Genomic DNA, 12,313 nt, shown 5'->3' on the forward strand with positions numbered 1-12,313 from the left:
CTTGGGAAGGCTCCCCCCGGCCGTCCCCTAGCTTCCCTGTCCCCCTCCTCTGCCACTCCATCTTCCCAATGATCCCCTGGAGCACCATTGCTAAGATTTAATGGCCCGCTCCAAGATCGGTCCCGGCCCTGTGCGTACTTACTCTCCACGGTGAGCGTGATGGGCTGGCTGGTCTTGTTATCCCCGTTTTTGTCGTTAACAGCCTGCACATAGTAGCGACCTGCGTCAGGGGCCACCGTTGACAGGATGACAAGGGTGTTCTCCAGCGTGATGGCTCTGGGAAGAGGAAAAGGATTCCTCTGACAGGGGCCTAAGGGGCTCTGAACCTCCAGGGAGTGGGAGTGGAAACCCTAAGGGGGAAGCCCGACCATATCTCCCAGTCCCCAGCCTCCCAGGGCCCCTCCTGCCACCCCCTCCCCAACCTCTTACTGCCTACATCCCGCCACGTTTAGTTTGCAGAGAATGCTAAACACGGTGCTGATGCTGTCAACCAGACCCAGAGACAGCACGTTCATGCCCAGACGCCGAGGCCACCCAAAGGAAGCTTCCCTGGCCCCTACCCCAAGACTGGGCAAGGGGCTTCCAGGTATCCCCTTGGAATTCTGCCCTTTCCCAGGTCACAGCCTCCATGGCTGTGTGTGGTTATTTCTGCATGATGTACATCCAGACACTGAAGAAATGTTCTCAGCATGGATTAGTGAATGTCGGTGAATGAATAAGTAAATGACAAATGAATGCTAATGAATTTAGAAATGCAGGGCCATTCCAGAGTCCATGCCTTAACCCTAATCCTAAATCTGTTCAGGATTGATGGACTCAAAGGCCACAGGTCACCTGGTGACATCAACTTCTGGAAGTCCTGTCTCCCTTCAGTCCCCTTTCTGGGTATCAGTTTCTACCTCTTTTTTTTTTGAGACAGTCTCGATCTGTTGCCCAGGCTGGAGTACAGTGGCATGATCTTGGCTCACTGCAGCCTCTGCCTCCCGGGTTCAAGCGATTCTCCTGCCTCAGCCTCCCGAGTAGCTAGGACTACAGGTGCGCGCCACTACCCCTGGCTAATTTTTTGTATTTTTAGTAGGGACAGGGTTTCACTTTGTTAGCCAGGATGGTCTCGATCTCCTGACCTTGTGATCTGCCCGCCTTGGCCTCCGAAAGTGTTGGGATTACAGGCGTGAGCCACTGTGCCCAGTCTTTTTTTTTTTTTTGAGACAGAGTTTTGCTCTTGTTACCCAGGCTGAAGTGCAATGGTACGATCTTGGCTTACTGCAACCTCCGCCTTCCCGGTTCAAGTGATTTTCCTGCCTCAGCCTCCTGAGTAGCTGGGATTACAGGTGCATGCCACCACACCCGGCTAATTCTTATATTTTTAGTAAAGACAGGGTTTTGCTATGTTGGCCAGGCTGGTCTCAAACTCCTGACCTCAAGTGATCTGCCTGCCTTGGCCTCTCAAAGTACTGGGATTACAGGTGTGAGCCACTGTACCCAGCTGGAGTTTCTACCTCTTTGAAGCTCATAACCAAGAGTGGGACTAGGTGGGCTGGTTAGGAGGGAAAAAGAGGCTGGTGTGTTTTGGGGTGTGGTGATGGGCTGTTTACCTCAGCTGGTTTCCTTTGCTGGGATCCCATCATGCAGCCCCTTCTCAGGCCAGGTCTTCTGGCAGGGAAAAGGGGCTTGTCCAAGCAGGAAGCTGGAGGCTCCATGGAATGTGGGTGCAATGGAGCCAGAAGCGCCACCCACACCGGCTCTTCCTCCCTCCACCCATTCTCCCAATGACAAACAAAGCCATTAGTTTGTCAAGTATATCTCTGGATTTTAATGCGATGGGCCTGAGACAGCTGTTAAACATCCTTAATGTTAGTTTAACAAGGACAAATCCAGTTGAATTCTTTTCAAATTTTCCCATTAGGTGAATGTTACAGAGTTTTAAACAGGCTCTCAAATAAACATCCCCACTAATGCTTCTCCAGCCCAGCACTCTCCCAGCCCGGCTGTGCTGGTTTTCGCCCCACTCTCTCCTGGTTTTGGTGCTTCACATGCTGAGAATCACACTCTTGGCACAGCTCTGGGAAGCAGGAAGCCAAGCCCTCCTGCCCCCAATTCCTGGGTACCCTAATGATGCCCCCCCACCTCTTTTTTTTTTTTTTTTTTTTTTTCTGGAGAGCTCTTGGCTGGGCACAGTGGCTCACGCCTGTAATCCCAGCATTTTGGGAGGCTGAAGTAGGTGGATCACCTGAGGTCGGGGGTTCGAGACCATACTGACCAATATGGAGAAACCCTGTCTCTACTAAAAATACAAAATTAGCCGGGTGTGGTGGTGGTGCATGCCTGTAATCCCAGCTACTCGGGAGGCTGAGGCAGGAAAATCGCTTGAACCTGGGAGGCAGAGGTTGCGGCCAGCCGAGGTCGCACCGTTGCACTCCAGCCTGAGCAACAGAGCGAAACTCCATCTCAAAAAAACAAAACAAACAAACAAACAAAAAAACAAGAAACAAAAAACAGGAGAGTCCTTTTAACCTCCAGCTAATGAGGCAATAGGAGGTGGGGCCAGAGCCAGGCGAAAATATTTCAAAAGCTTAAAATAAGACAGGGATAGTGGTCATTTTCCCACCTGAGAGTTTCCTGCAGGGACTTGTCCTTAGGTATAGCATGTGAGGGTGGCTGAGAGTTGGAGGAGGGGTCCTCCCCGTGCAGGGCTCTGGCTGGGGCACGGGGTGAGCTCTGGAATGGAGCTCTGGCCCTAGCCTCTAAAGGGCATGCAGCTTCCTCCTTGCTGGGCCTCAGTTTCCTCCTCTGTGCAGGGGTGGAAGCAGGTATTCTGTGAGATTTCTTCCAGCCCAGAGGTTGAAGGATTCTGATTCCTGTTGCTGCTTCTGTTGTTTCCTCATTAGGCCCAAGATAGCCCTGCAGCCCGCCACCTGTCTCTTCCCACCCCGCAGACCGGGACATGGCCAGCTTCAGGGCTGACAGGATTTTCATGAGCACTATGTGCCGGGACCATGCCGGCCCAGCTCCCCCAGCCACGCCACATCCATGACTATCATAGAAGCAGCTTCAAGCCTCCAGTGGGCACACTGGGCACAGCTTGGCCCACGTTCCAGTTCACCCACCTGTCTTAGGACCCTTTTGGTCTCCAAGAAGGCTCCCACCTCCAATTTCATCTCTTTCTTGATCAGGAAGGCTCCTTTCACTGTATTTTGTCTATATCATGATCAAGCTTTCTGGGTCAGTGGTTCTCAACCAGGGTTGACTTTGCCCTCCAGGGATGACAATGTCTGGACAACTTTTGGTTGCCAGCTCGGGGAGCGCCACTAACAATAGGGGTCAAGGCCGGGGGTGTTGTTAAGCACGCATCCCGTGGTGCACAGGAAGGCCCTCACAGGGAAGAGTGATCAGGCCCCAGATGTCAAGAGCGCCATGCCTGACATGGTCTGTCCTAGGTAGAGTGTATATTAAGATGGCAGAGATGGCCGCTGCCCACCTCAGTCTCAGGCTTCCCTTGTGTCATGGACTGCAGTGGCTGGGAAGCCAGAGACAGACTTTGCATCTCTGCTTGCATCCAGGTGGGGCAGTGAGGCTGAACTAGTGGGATATGGAGGAAGGGATGTGCACCGTTGCTAAGCTTGGACCATGAGCGCCTCCTGCGCGATCCTCATGTCTGCCCCCTTTCTCTCTGGCAGAGCAGGACAACTTGGAAGGTTGTGTGCTGATGATGGCAAAACTCCTGCCTCTCATCATGGTAGGACTTTAAATGGGGCTGGGCACGGTGGCTCATGCCTGTCATCCCAGCAGTTTGGGAGGCTGAGGCAGGTGGAACGCCTGAGGTCAAGAGTTCAAGACCAGCCTGATCAACATGGTAAAACCCTGTATCTACTAAAAATACAAAATTAGCCAGATGTGGTGGTGCATGCCTGTAATCCCAGCTACTGGAGGCTGAGGCAGGAGAATTGCTTGAACTCAGGAGGCAGAGGTTGCAGTGAGCTGAGATCGTGCCATTGCACTCCAGCCTGAGCATCAAGAGCGAAAATCCATCTCAAAACAAAAACATAAACAAAAACAACAACAATAAATGGGCAAGAACTCAACTTCTATGGTGTGAAGTCACTGAGATTTTGGGCTCTGCTTTAACTAGTGCCTGGAGGGAAGCACCCTGGACTGGGACCCCCAGGGCCTGAGTTCAAGTCTTAAACACAGAGTGGAACAGGAGGCAGAGATACCTTTTGACTTGCCCTCTCTGCGACCCCCAAAGGCAGTGAAGGAAGGTCCCTGGGCTTGTGGCTCTCTCCAGAATGTCCATCTCGTTGATAGACATTCCTGGGATGATGCTGTACTGTACTGTACTGGGTGCTCTTCCTGGCACTCAGGAGGGCTTCCAACCTGCAGCACTGCACCCCAGAGGCAACCCAGATGGAAAGAAGCTGGAGGAAGAATTCTTGGGGGACACAGACAGCAGAATTCAACTCTTGGGCAGGGGCTGGATTCCATTTTTCAGCCACACCCCCTGGTTTCAATGTACTAGGCTTTTGCTATGGCTCTGATTGGCCCAGCCCTGCCCTCCCTTCCCCCCACTGCTCCTGTTAATCCAGGCCATTTTTCTCAGCTCCCTGCAGCCCCCATTGATAATTTAATTATGCATGAAATAAATTATCCTAGAATGTGTCCAAAGCCCCCAGCATGCATCTTTATGAGGAATCTTGTCTCCTTTGCAACAATGAGCACCGGGGCATGCATGAGGTGGTGCTAATCTCTGCTCTTGCCCCACCAGTGAGAGCGGCTCTCTGTAGATAGCAGCGCCTTCTGTGCCCTGCACACCCCTCTGGCAGATAGCACTCATCAGATGTGTATCTCTGACACACAGACACCAGGGAATTTGCTGCCAGGGACCTTTTCTGCTCACTTATGAATATTAATTTGCTGTAATTGCCAGGATAAAACCCCCAGAGTGTTCTATCATGTAGGTGGTAGGAATATTGCGGTGGTGTGCAGGGGCTGGGGGTGTGTGTGACCAGGGAGGTATGCATGTGTGTGCAGGCCAGGGTGTTCTGTCCTGGTGCCACAGGGTTGTGGGAATTAAAAGAGGATGAGGACAGAGGCTTGGAATGAGAAAAGGAGGTGAAGAGGTGTTAGGAAAGGGATGATGGGAGTAGGTTGTAGAAAGGGTTTCACCCACCACAACAAATGTAGCAGGAAAGTGCCAGCACACCCCTCATGCAGCCATGGCAGACATTGCTAATCAATCATGATATTCATTCTAATGAGTCTAGATGGGACATCAGAATCCTTCTCAACACAGTGTTCCAGGCAGCCACTACCAATTGATTGGCTTGCAATAGGCCATGGGAAATAACCTCAGAAAGGGAGCTGGGATGGGGCTGGGACTCGTCTACTTGTCCCAAAACCTGTGTGGAGAGCATTCCCCTTCCACAGCAAAATCTCAACATCCACGCTAAGAAACATCCATGCTAAGAACCATTCTCTGCTGGTTTTATTGAGCATTAAGTTAGGCCTAAGAGGGCACACTCTGACTCACACAGCATGAGTCCCCTGTTAACCTGGGGTGCCACTCCAATTCTTCACCCTGCTCTGTATCCACACTCTTTGTCCCGTGACTTTGCAGGTCCTGCTGCTCAAGGAACAGAGTCTATTTTCCTACATCTTGATTCTGAGTTCTGCCATGTTCTTGCTTTGGCACATGGGATGTTAGCAGAAGCTGGAAAAGTGTATGTTCCTGTGCAGCACAGCCAAGTCACCCCAGTCACCCAGACAAGTCAGCCAGTCCCAGACAAGTGAGAGAGCCCAGCCAAGACCAGAAGAACCACCCAGCCAAGCCCAGCCTAAATCACCAGCCTGCAGACTCACAAGAAAAAGAAATGTGTATTGCTCTAAGCCACTGAGCTGGGGTTTTTTTTTTTTTTCTTTTTTTTTGAGATGGAGTCTTGCTCTTGTCACCCAGGCTAGAGTGCAGTGGTGCAATCTTGGCTCACTGCAGCCTCTGCCTCCCAGGTTCAAGCGATTCTCCTGTCTCAGCCTCCTGAGCAGCTGGGACTATAGGCATGTGCCACCATCCCTGGCTAATTTTGTATTTTTAGTAGAGATGGGATTTTGCCAGGTTGGCCAGGCTGGTCTTGAACTCCTGACCTCATGTGATCTGCCCAGCTTGGCCTCTGAAAGTGCTGAGATTACAGGCATGAGCCACTGCACCTGGCCCACTGAGCTGTTTTGTTACGCAGCATATCTGTGGCTGTGGGTAGCTGATACATACTAGCATGGTGGTTCTTAACCCTGGCTTCACATTAGAACCACCTGGGGAGCTTTTAAAATTTCTGATGCTCAAATTCCATCCCATTTCAATTAAGTCAGAGAGTCTTAGGATAGAGCCCAAGGATCAGTACACAGTCACGCACTGCATAATGTTTCAGTCAAAAACAGACCACATATATGATGCTGGTTCTATAAGATTATAATGAAACTACCTTATACAGGTGTGCCATTAAAAAAATCTTTTACACCATATTTTTGTGGTACCTTTCCTATATTTAGATATGTTTATTTATACAAATACTTACCATTGTGTTACAATTGCCTACAGTACAGTAACATGCTGTACAGGTTTATAGCCTAGGAGCAATGGACTACACCATACATCCTGGGTGTGTAGTAGGCTGCACCATCTAGGTGTGTGTTCACACAACAATGAAACAGCCAAATGACACATTTCTCAGAATGTATCTCTGCCATTAAGCAACACATGACTGTATCCCCAAACTCCCAAATGATTTCAACAGGTAGCTACGTTGAGATACTCCACAGGGCTTGTTCCCCACAAACACTATCTTTTCATCGAGTCTGTGAACCTGTTTTCAGGCACTTTTCACATAATACAAGAATTAAAGAACCTGACTCCGGAGTTGGCAGGGCTGGATGCAGCTCCAGTGCTGACCAGCTGTGTGAGATTTGGCAAAGTAGTTAAACTTTTGGGAACTTCACTTGATTGCCTGTAAAACGGGGAGAAACCCAGCACCTCACCGGGTTGTTGTGAGGGTCATTCATTCAACAACGCCTCCTTTCTGCAGGTGCTCTGCGGACTGGAAGGAGAACGAGATTGAGAGCATCTTCTTCCTCACAGAGTGTGGCTGTCCGGAAAGAGAGGGGATGTGTGTGGTGTGCTTAGCTCAGTCCTCAGGACATAGCAGCCATTCAATAAACGGCAGCTGCTATTATGATGATGGTGATATTATCATTATTTGAGATGGAGTCTGGTTTTGTCTGGAGGCTGGAGGCTGGAGTGCAGTGGCCCGATCTCGGCTCACTGCAACCTCTGACTCCCAGGTTCAAGCGATTCTCCTGCCTCAGCCTCCTGAGTAGCTGGGATTACAGGCACCTGCCACCATGCCCAGCTAATTTTTGTATTTTTAGTAGAGACAGGGTTTTGCCACGTTGCTCAGGCTGGTCTCAACTCCTGACCTCAAGTGATCAGTCCACCTCAGTCTCCCAAAGTGCTGGGATCACAGGTGTGAGCCGCCGCGTCCGGCCTGTGATAGTGATATTATTATTATTGTTATTGTTACTATGCTTCCTTCCCCCAACTAGACTTAATGCTCCCCAAAGGCAGGAACCATCCATCTACGCCTCCACTCTCTACAGAGACCAGGACAGGCTCAGTCCTGTGTACACGCAGCCTGGGTAGATCAGAAGGTGGTCTTCTGGAAGCAGGGGAGAGCTGGAGTTGGAAAGAGGAGAGCCCCAGCTGCCTCCAGACCCGGGGGTGGCTCAGGAGGGCGGGGAGACGGGTGTATCTCGGGAGGAACTGCTTTGTTGCTCGCCTTCTGCGGAGGTGTGGGGTGTTGGCTCCATCCTCCTGCCCACAGGCTGGGCTGCCCCAGCCAATCCCAGGGGGCACACAGAGACGGCCTTGTGAACACTCAGAGGCCTGTGTGTTTCTCTGCCCAGGGCTTCCCTGGCCACACCTCCGCCGCACAGCCAAGACACACACAGCCCTCACACACCAGTAAACACCCTGCCAACGGACGCGCCCAGGGCCTCCCGGCTGCCCAGGAGACGCCAGCCTCTCCAAGGTCCCCCAGCGCCACTGGCCTGAGTCCTGGGCCTGTAACCACGGTGACAGCGCCTTCGTATATGCCTGTTTGGGTTTTTTAAGTGCTCTGAAAAGCAGATTTATTCTCCAGCTGATGGTGGAGGCAACGCCCTGGGATTCCCCAGGAAGGGGACCGGGCATGGGTTTCATGGTCCCAAGTCCTTGCCTGTGCATCCTAAGAAAGCCCCTGGGAGGTCCCCTACCTGGCTGTGTCCCACAGGAGCTGAAAGGGGCTTCTGCACAAAGGCCCTCCTCCACACTCAAGGGAGACTTTATCTGGCCCCAAACCTCCTCCCCCAGACACCCCTCCCCTCCCCGTCCCCTCAGAGCGATGCACTCACATGCGGCTGCTGGGCGGGATCTTGCGGCCGTCCCGGAACCAGGTCACCTGTGGCTGGGGGAAGCTGGCGATGCGCGGGGCACGGATGACAGCTGCTTCTCCGTGGGAGACGCTCTGGTGCTTCTCACCTTCCTCAAAGCTCCCCATGTCTGCAGCCGGGACAACGGCAGTAGGATCAGGGGCGGGAGGTCAGCCTCAGGGACTGCCCAGCTCCCAGGTTGGGAGTGGTGGCTATGGACGGAAAATTCGGGGCAGACAGGATGACCACAGGGAAGGAGGACACCTTGCTCGGGCCACCCCATTCTCTGCCTCACCACTAGCACCCTGCCCTAAGCTACTGTCTCCATTCATATCCCTATATCCTTCAATCGGCCAGTTCGTTCAACCACCCTGAGAGGTTGGTCATCATTTCACACATTTTACAATGGAAAAAACTGCTCAAATGGGCTCCGAGAGGTTAGTTAACTTGTCTAAGGTCACCTAACTAGGAAGAGACAGAGTCAGAATTTGAACTCGGACCTTAAACCCTGGAGTCAGGCTATGTAGCTCCTCCTCCCCTGCCCTACAGTGTGCCCTTCAGCATGGCGGGGGTTCCTGTGTGAGGTGAAGGGCAGGTTTCTGTGCCCTTTCAGGGAGAGAAGTGTGGGCATGCTGAGAGAATGGGGTCTTAGATGCTTGCAAATGGGTGCAGACAGCGTTTCTCTCCTGCGCCTTGGGTGTGTAGTGTGTAGTGTGTGAGTTTGTGTGTATGTGTGAACATAAATACCATATTGCTCTTTTAAAACATGCCACTGCCTTGGCAGATAAGGAGGGGAACATTTATCCTGGCTCTGCCTGCCAGGAGGTAAGCACAGAGCAGAGGAGACGCGGGTAGGAAACTCTTCAGCCAGCCTGCCGGCCTGCCGGGGCGGGACAAGGGGGTAGGGAGACTAATTCCAACACGGAGGCTTGGAGATAGGGTTTGGGAAGGGGTATTTGTGTCTCTACCACACCCTTGAAAATTAATGGACATCCCTGTTACTTTGATTGTGGCCCATGGGCAGGTGCCTAGGCACCACACCTGGGCACCTGTCAGAAATGCAGAGTCTCAGGCCCCCCAAGACCTGCTGGATCAGAAGCAGCATTTTAGCAAGACGCTTGGCAAGTGTGTCCATGTTCAACTGTGAGGAGCATATTATTTGTCCCAAACTTGACTGTGTGTCGGAACCACCTGTAGAATTAAAAAATGCTGATGGGAGCCTCACCCCCAAAGCTTCTGATTTCACTGGCGTGGAGTGTGGGGATGGGAGACATCTCACATCATTCCATTTTCTTTTCTCTTCCTTCCTTCCTTCCTTCCTTCCTTCCTTCCTTCCTTCCTTCCTTCCTTCCTTCCTTCCTTCCCCCCTCCCTCCCTCCCCCTCCCCCCCTCCCCTCTCCTCCCCTCCCCTCTCCTCTCCTCTCTTTCTTTCTTTCTTTCTTTCATCTCACTCTGTAACCCAGGCTTCAATCAGCCAAGTGCAGTGGTACAATCTTGGCTCACTGCAACCTCTGCCTCCCAGGTTCAAGTGATTCTCCTGCCTCAGCCTCCTGAGTAGCTGGGATTACAGGCACCCGCCAGCACGCCCAGCTAATTTTTGTATTTTTAGTAGAGATGGGGTTTCGCCATGTTGGCCAGGCCGGTCTTGAACTTCTGACCTAAAGTGATCCGCCCGCCTCGGCCTCCCAAAGTGTTGGGATTACAGGTCTGAGCCACCGTGCCCAGCCTACATCACCCCAAGCCATCACTAGGATGTGCCTGGACCTGTGCACAGAATTCCCACGTGCAGAAAGATTTCACACTGCTGACTTTAGGCCTTTGTTTCCCCATTGCCTAGCAGATCCCTCCCTAACCAAGGGGGCCGCATCCTAAGCTACCGGGTCCCCTCCTACTGCATTGGGTGTTATTTCTCAACTCCTCTAAGACCACTGACTCTTCTTCCTCTCCTTCTACCAGGAATTCTCCAACCTGGCTGCACTTTAGCAACCTTGAGGACCCTTTAATATTCCCAGAGGTGAGAATCTTTTGGGGTGTGTGGGCTGACCTCAGTATTTGTTTATTATTATTATTTTAGAGACAGGGTCTCGCTCTATCATTCAGGCTGGAGCACAGTGGAGTGATCATGGCTCACTGCAGCTTCAACCTCTTGGGCTCAAGCAATCCTTCCGCCTCAGCCTCCTGAGTAGCTGGGACTACAGGTGTGTACCACCATGCCTGCATAATTTTATTTTTAATAGAAACGAGGTCTTGTTATGTTGCCTAGGCTGGTCTGGAGCTCCCAAAGTGTTGGGATTATAGGCGTGAGCCACTGTGCCCAGACCAGACCTGAGTATTTCTAAAGATGTTCAGGTAGTTCCAACGTGAGCTAAGGCTGAGTTGGGTGGGTCTCAGAATCTCCTGAGACTTGGCAAACTCACAAAGGTGCTCACCACTCTCCTTCCCTCCCAGGCATCCCCCAGGGCACAGAAAGGCCCGTCTGGCTCTCTGAGTACCTGATTCACTCTCTTGGTTTGCAGATTCTGTCACACAATCGTTTGAGAATGCGGGCCTACAAGTTCATTTTCCAAAGCCCTAGTCTTGATTCTCTTTCCAGCCATGCTGGCCCCTTGGCAGCTTCACTTGGCCTAATGGTTTGACCACAATCTCCCTGCAAATGACACTTGTGCCTTCTGCTCTGGCTCTGCCCTGAGCTCTGAGATCCAATTTCCAACAGTCTGTTGGGCATTTCTCCAAGGAGGGCCCTCCGTCACCTCCTTGCCAAGCTCTCCTTGCATCCTAAGTTCTGTTAAAATCTCCCCTTGGCCGGGTGCAGTGGCTCACGCCTGTAATCCCAGCACTTTGGGAGGCTGAGGCAGGCGGATCATGAGGTCAGGAGTTCGAGACAACCCTGGCCAACATGGTGAAACCCCGTCTACACTAATAATACAAAAATTAGCCGAGCATGGTGGCACATGCCTGTAATCCCAGCTACTCGGGAGGCTGAGGTAGGAGAATCGCTTGAACCTGGGAGGCGGAGGTTGCGGTGAGCCGAGATGGGGTCGTTGTACTCCAGCCTGGGGCAACAAGAGGGAAACTCCATCTCACAGAAAACAAAAACTAAAACAAACAAACAGACAAAAAAACTCCCCTCATGCCCTGCAAACCCAATCACCTAAGCTCAAACCCCTGGAGCCTTTGGTGGAGCTTCCCTTCCCTGCCCCCACCAAGCCTTTCAACTTCTCTGGGACATTACTGTCATTTACCAAGGTCCCTCTGGTTCCTCCAGCCTTGCCAATGGGCTGGCCTTACTCCAGCTGCACAGACCCTGGGATATGCCTCCCAACTCCAGATCCCCTTCTGTCCATCTTACACACTGTTCTTGATTAGTTTTTCTGACCTTGGAGCCTTTGGGAACTCCTCACTGCCCTGGGAAAGTCTAAATTCCCTGGCCTGGACTCAAGGTTCTTCCCTAATCTGACCCTAGACAACCTTTCTTGCCTTAATGCCCACACCACGTCCTGCCACCTCCCACCCCACGGCCTGTATTTTGGCTGGGCCACTGCCTGGAATGCCACCAGAGGAAGCCAAGAGTCACCAAGGCACCATGGTTCTACAGCATCCTGGAAGGATGTAGTCAATTAAGTGTTTCAAAAGATCAAATCTGCTGCTGGCATCCTTGTTCTATACTTGGTAGACAGTGTGTGTAATGGTAATGGCTTTGGAGTTTTTTAGACCTGACTTCAAATCCTAGTTCTGTCGTTCCATTACTCATTAGCCATGATGCTGGGTAGATTTCTTTCTTTTTTTTTTTTGTAGAGACACAGTCTCGCTATGTTGCCCAGGCTGGTCATGAACTCCGGCCTTAAAGCTCTCACCTCGGTCT

General features: G+C 51.8%; 1 protein-coding gene across 5 annotated transcripts in view; it reads right to left on the bottom strand.

Annotated features, from left to right (window-relative positions):
* The window catches only part of SDK2 (sidekick cell adhesion molecule 2), a 310,062-nt gene that overhangs the window by 113,089 nt on the left and 184,660 nt on the right, over positions 1–12,313 (bottom strand). For all 5 annotated transcript variants that reach the window (XM_047436313.1, XM_011524914.3, XM_011524915.3 and 2 more), the window contains exons 4-5: positions 8,434–8,581; positions 143–276 (exon numbers count right to left, since the gene is read on the bottom strand). In XM_047436313.1, the coding sequence (XP_047292269.1) occupies positions 143–276; positions 8,434–8,581 (282 nt within the window). The remainder of the gene's footprint in view (positions 1–142; positions 277–8,433; positions 8,582–12,313) is intronic.

This window comes from Homo sapiens, chromosome 17 (assembly GCF_000001405.40).
Source record: "Homo sapiens chromosome 17, GRCh38.p14 Primary Assembly".
Lineage (NCBI taxonomy): Eukaryota > Metazoa > Chordata > Mammalia > Primates > Hominidae > Homo > Homo sapiens.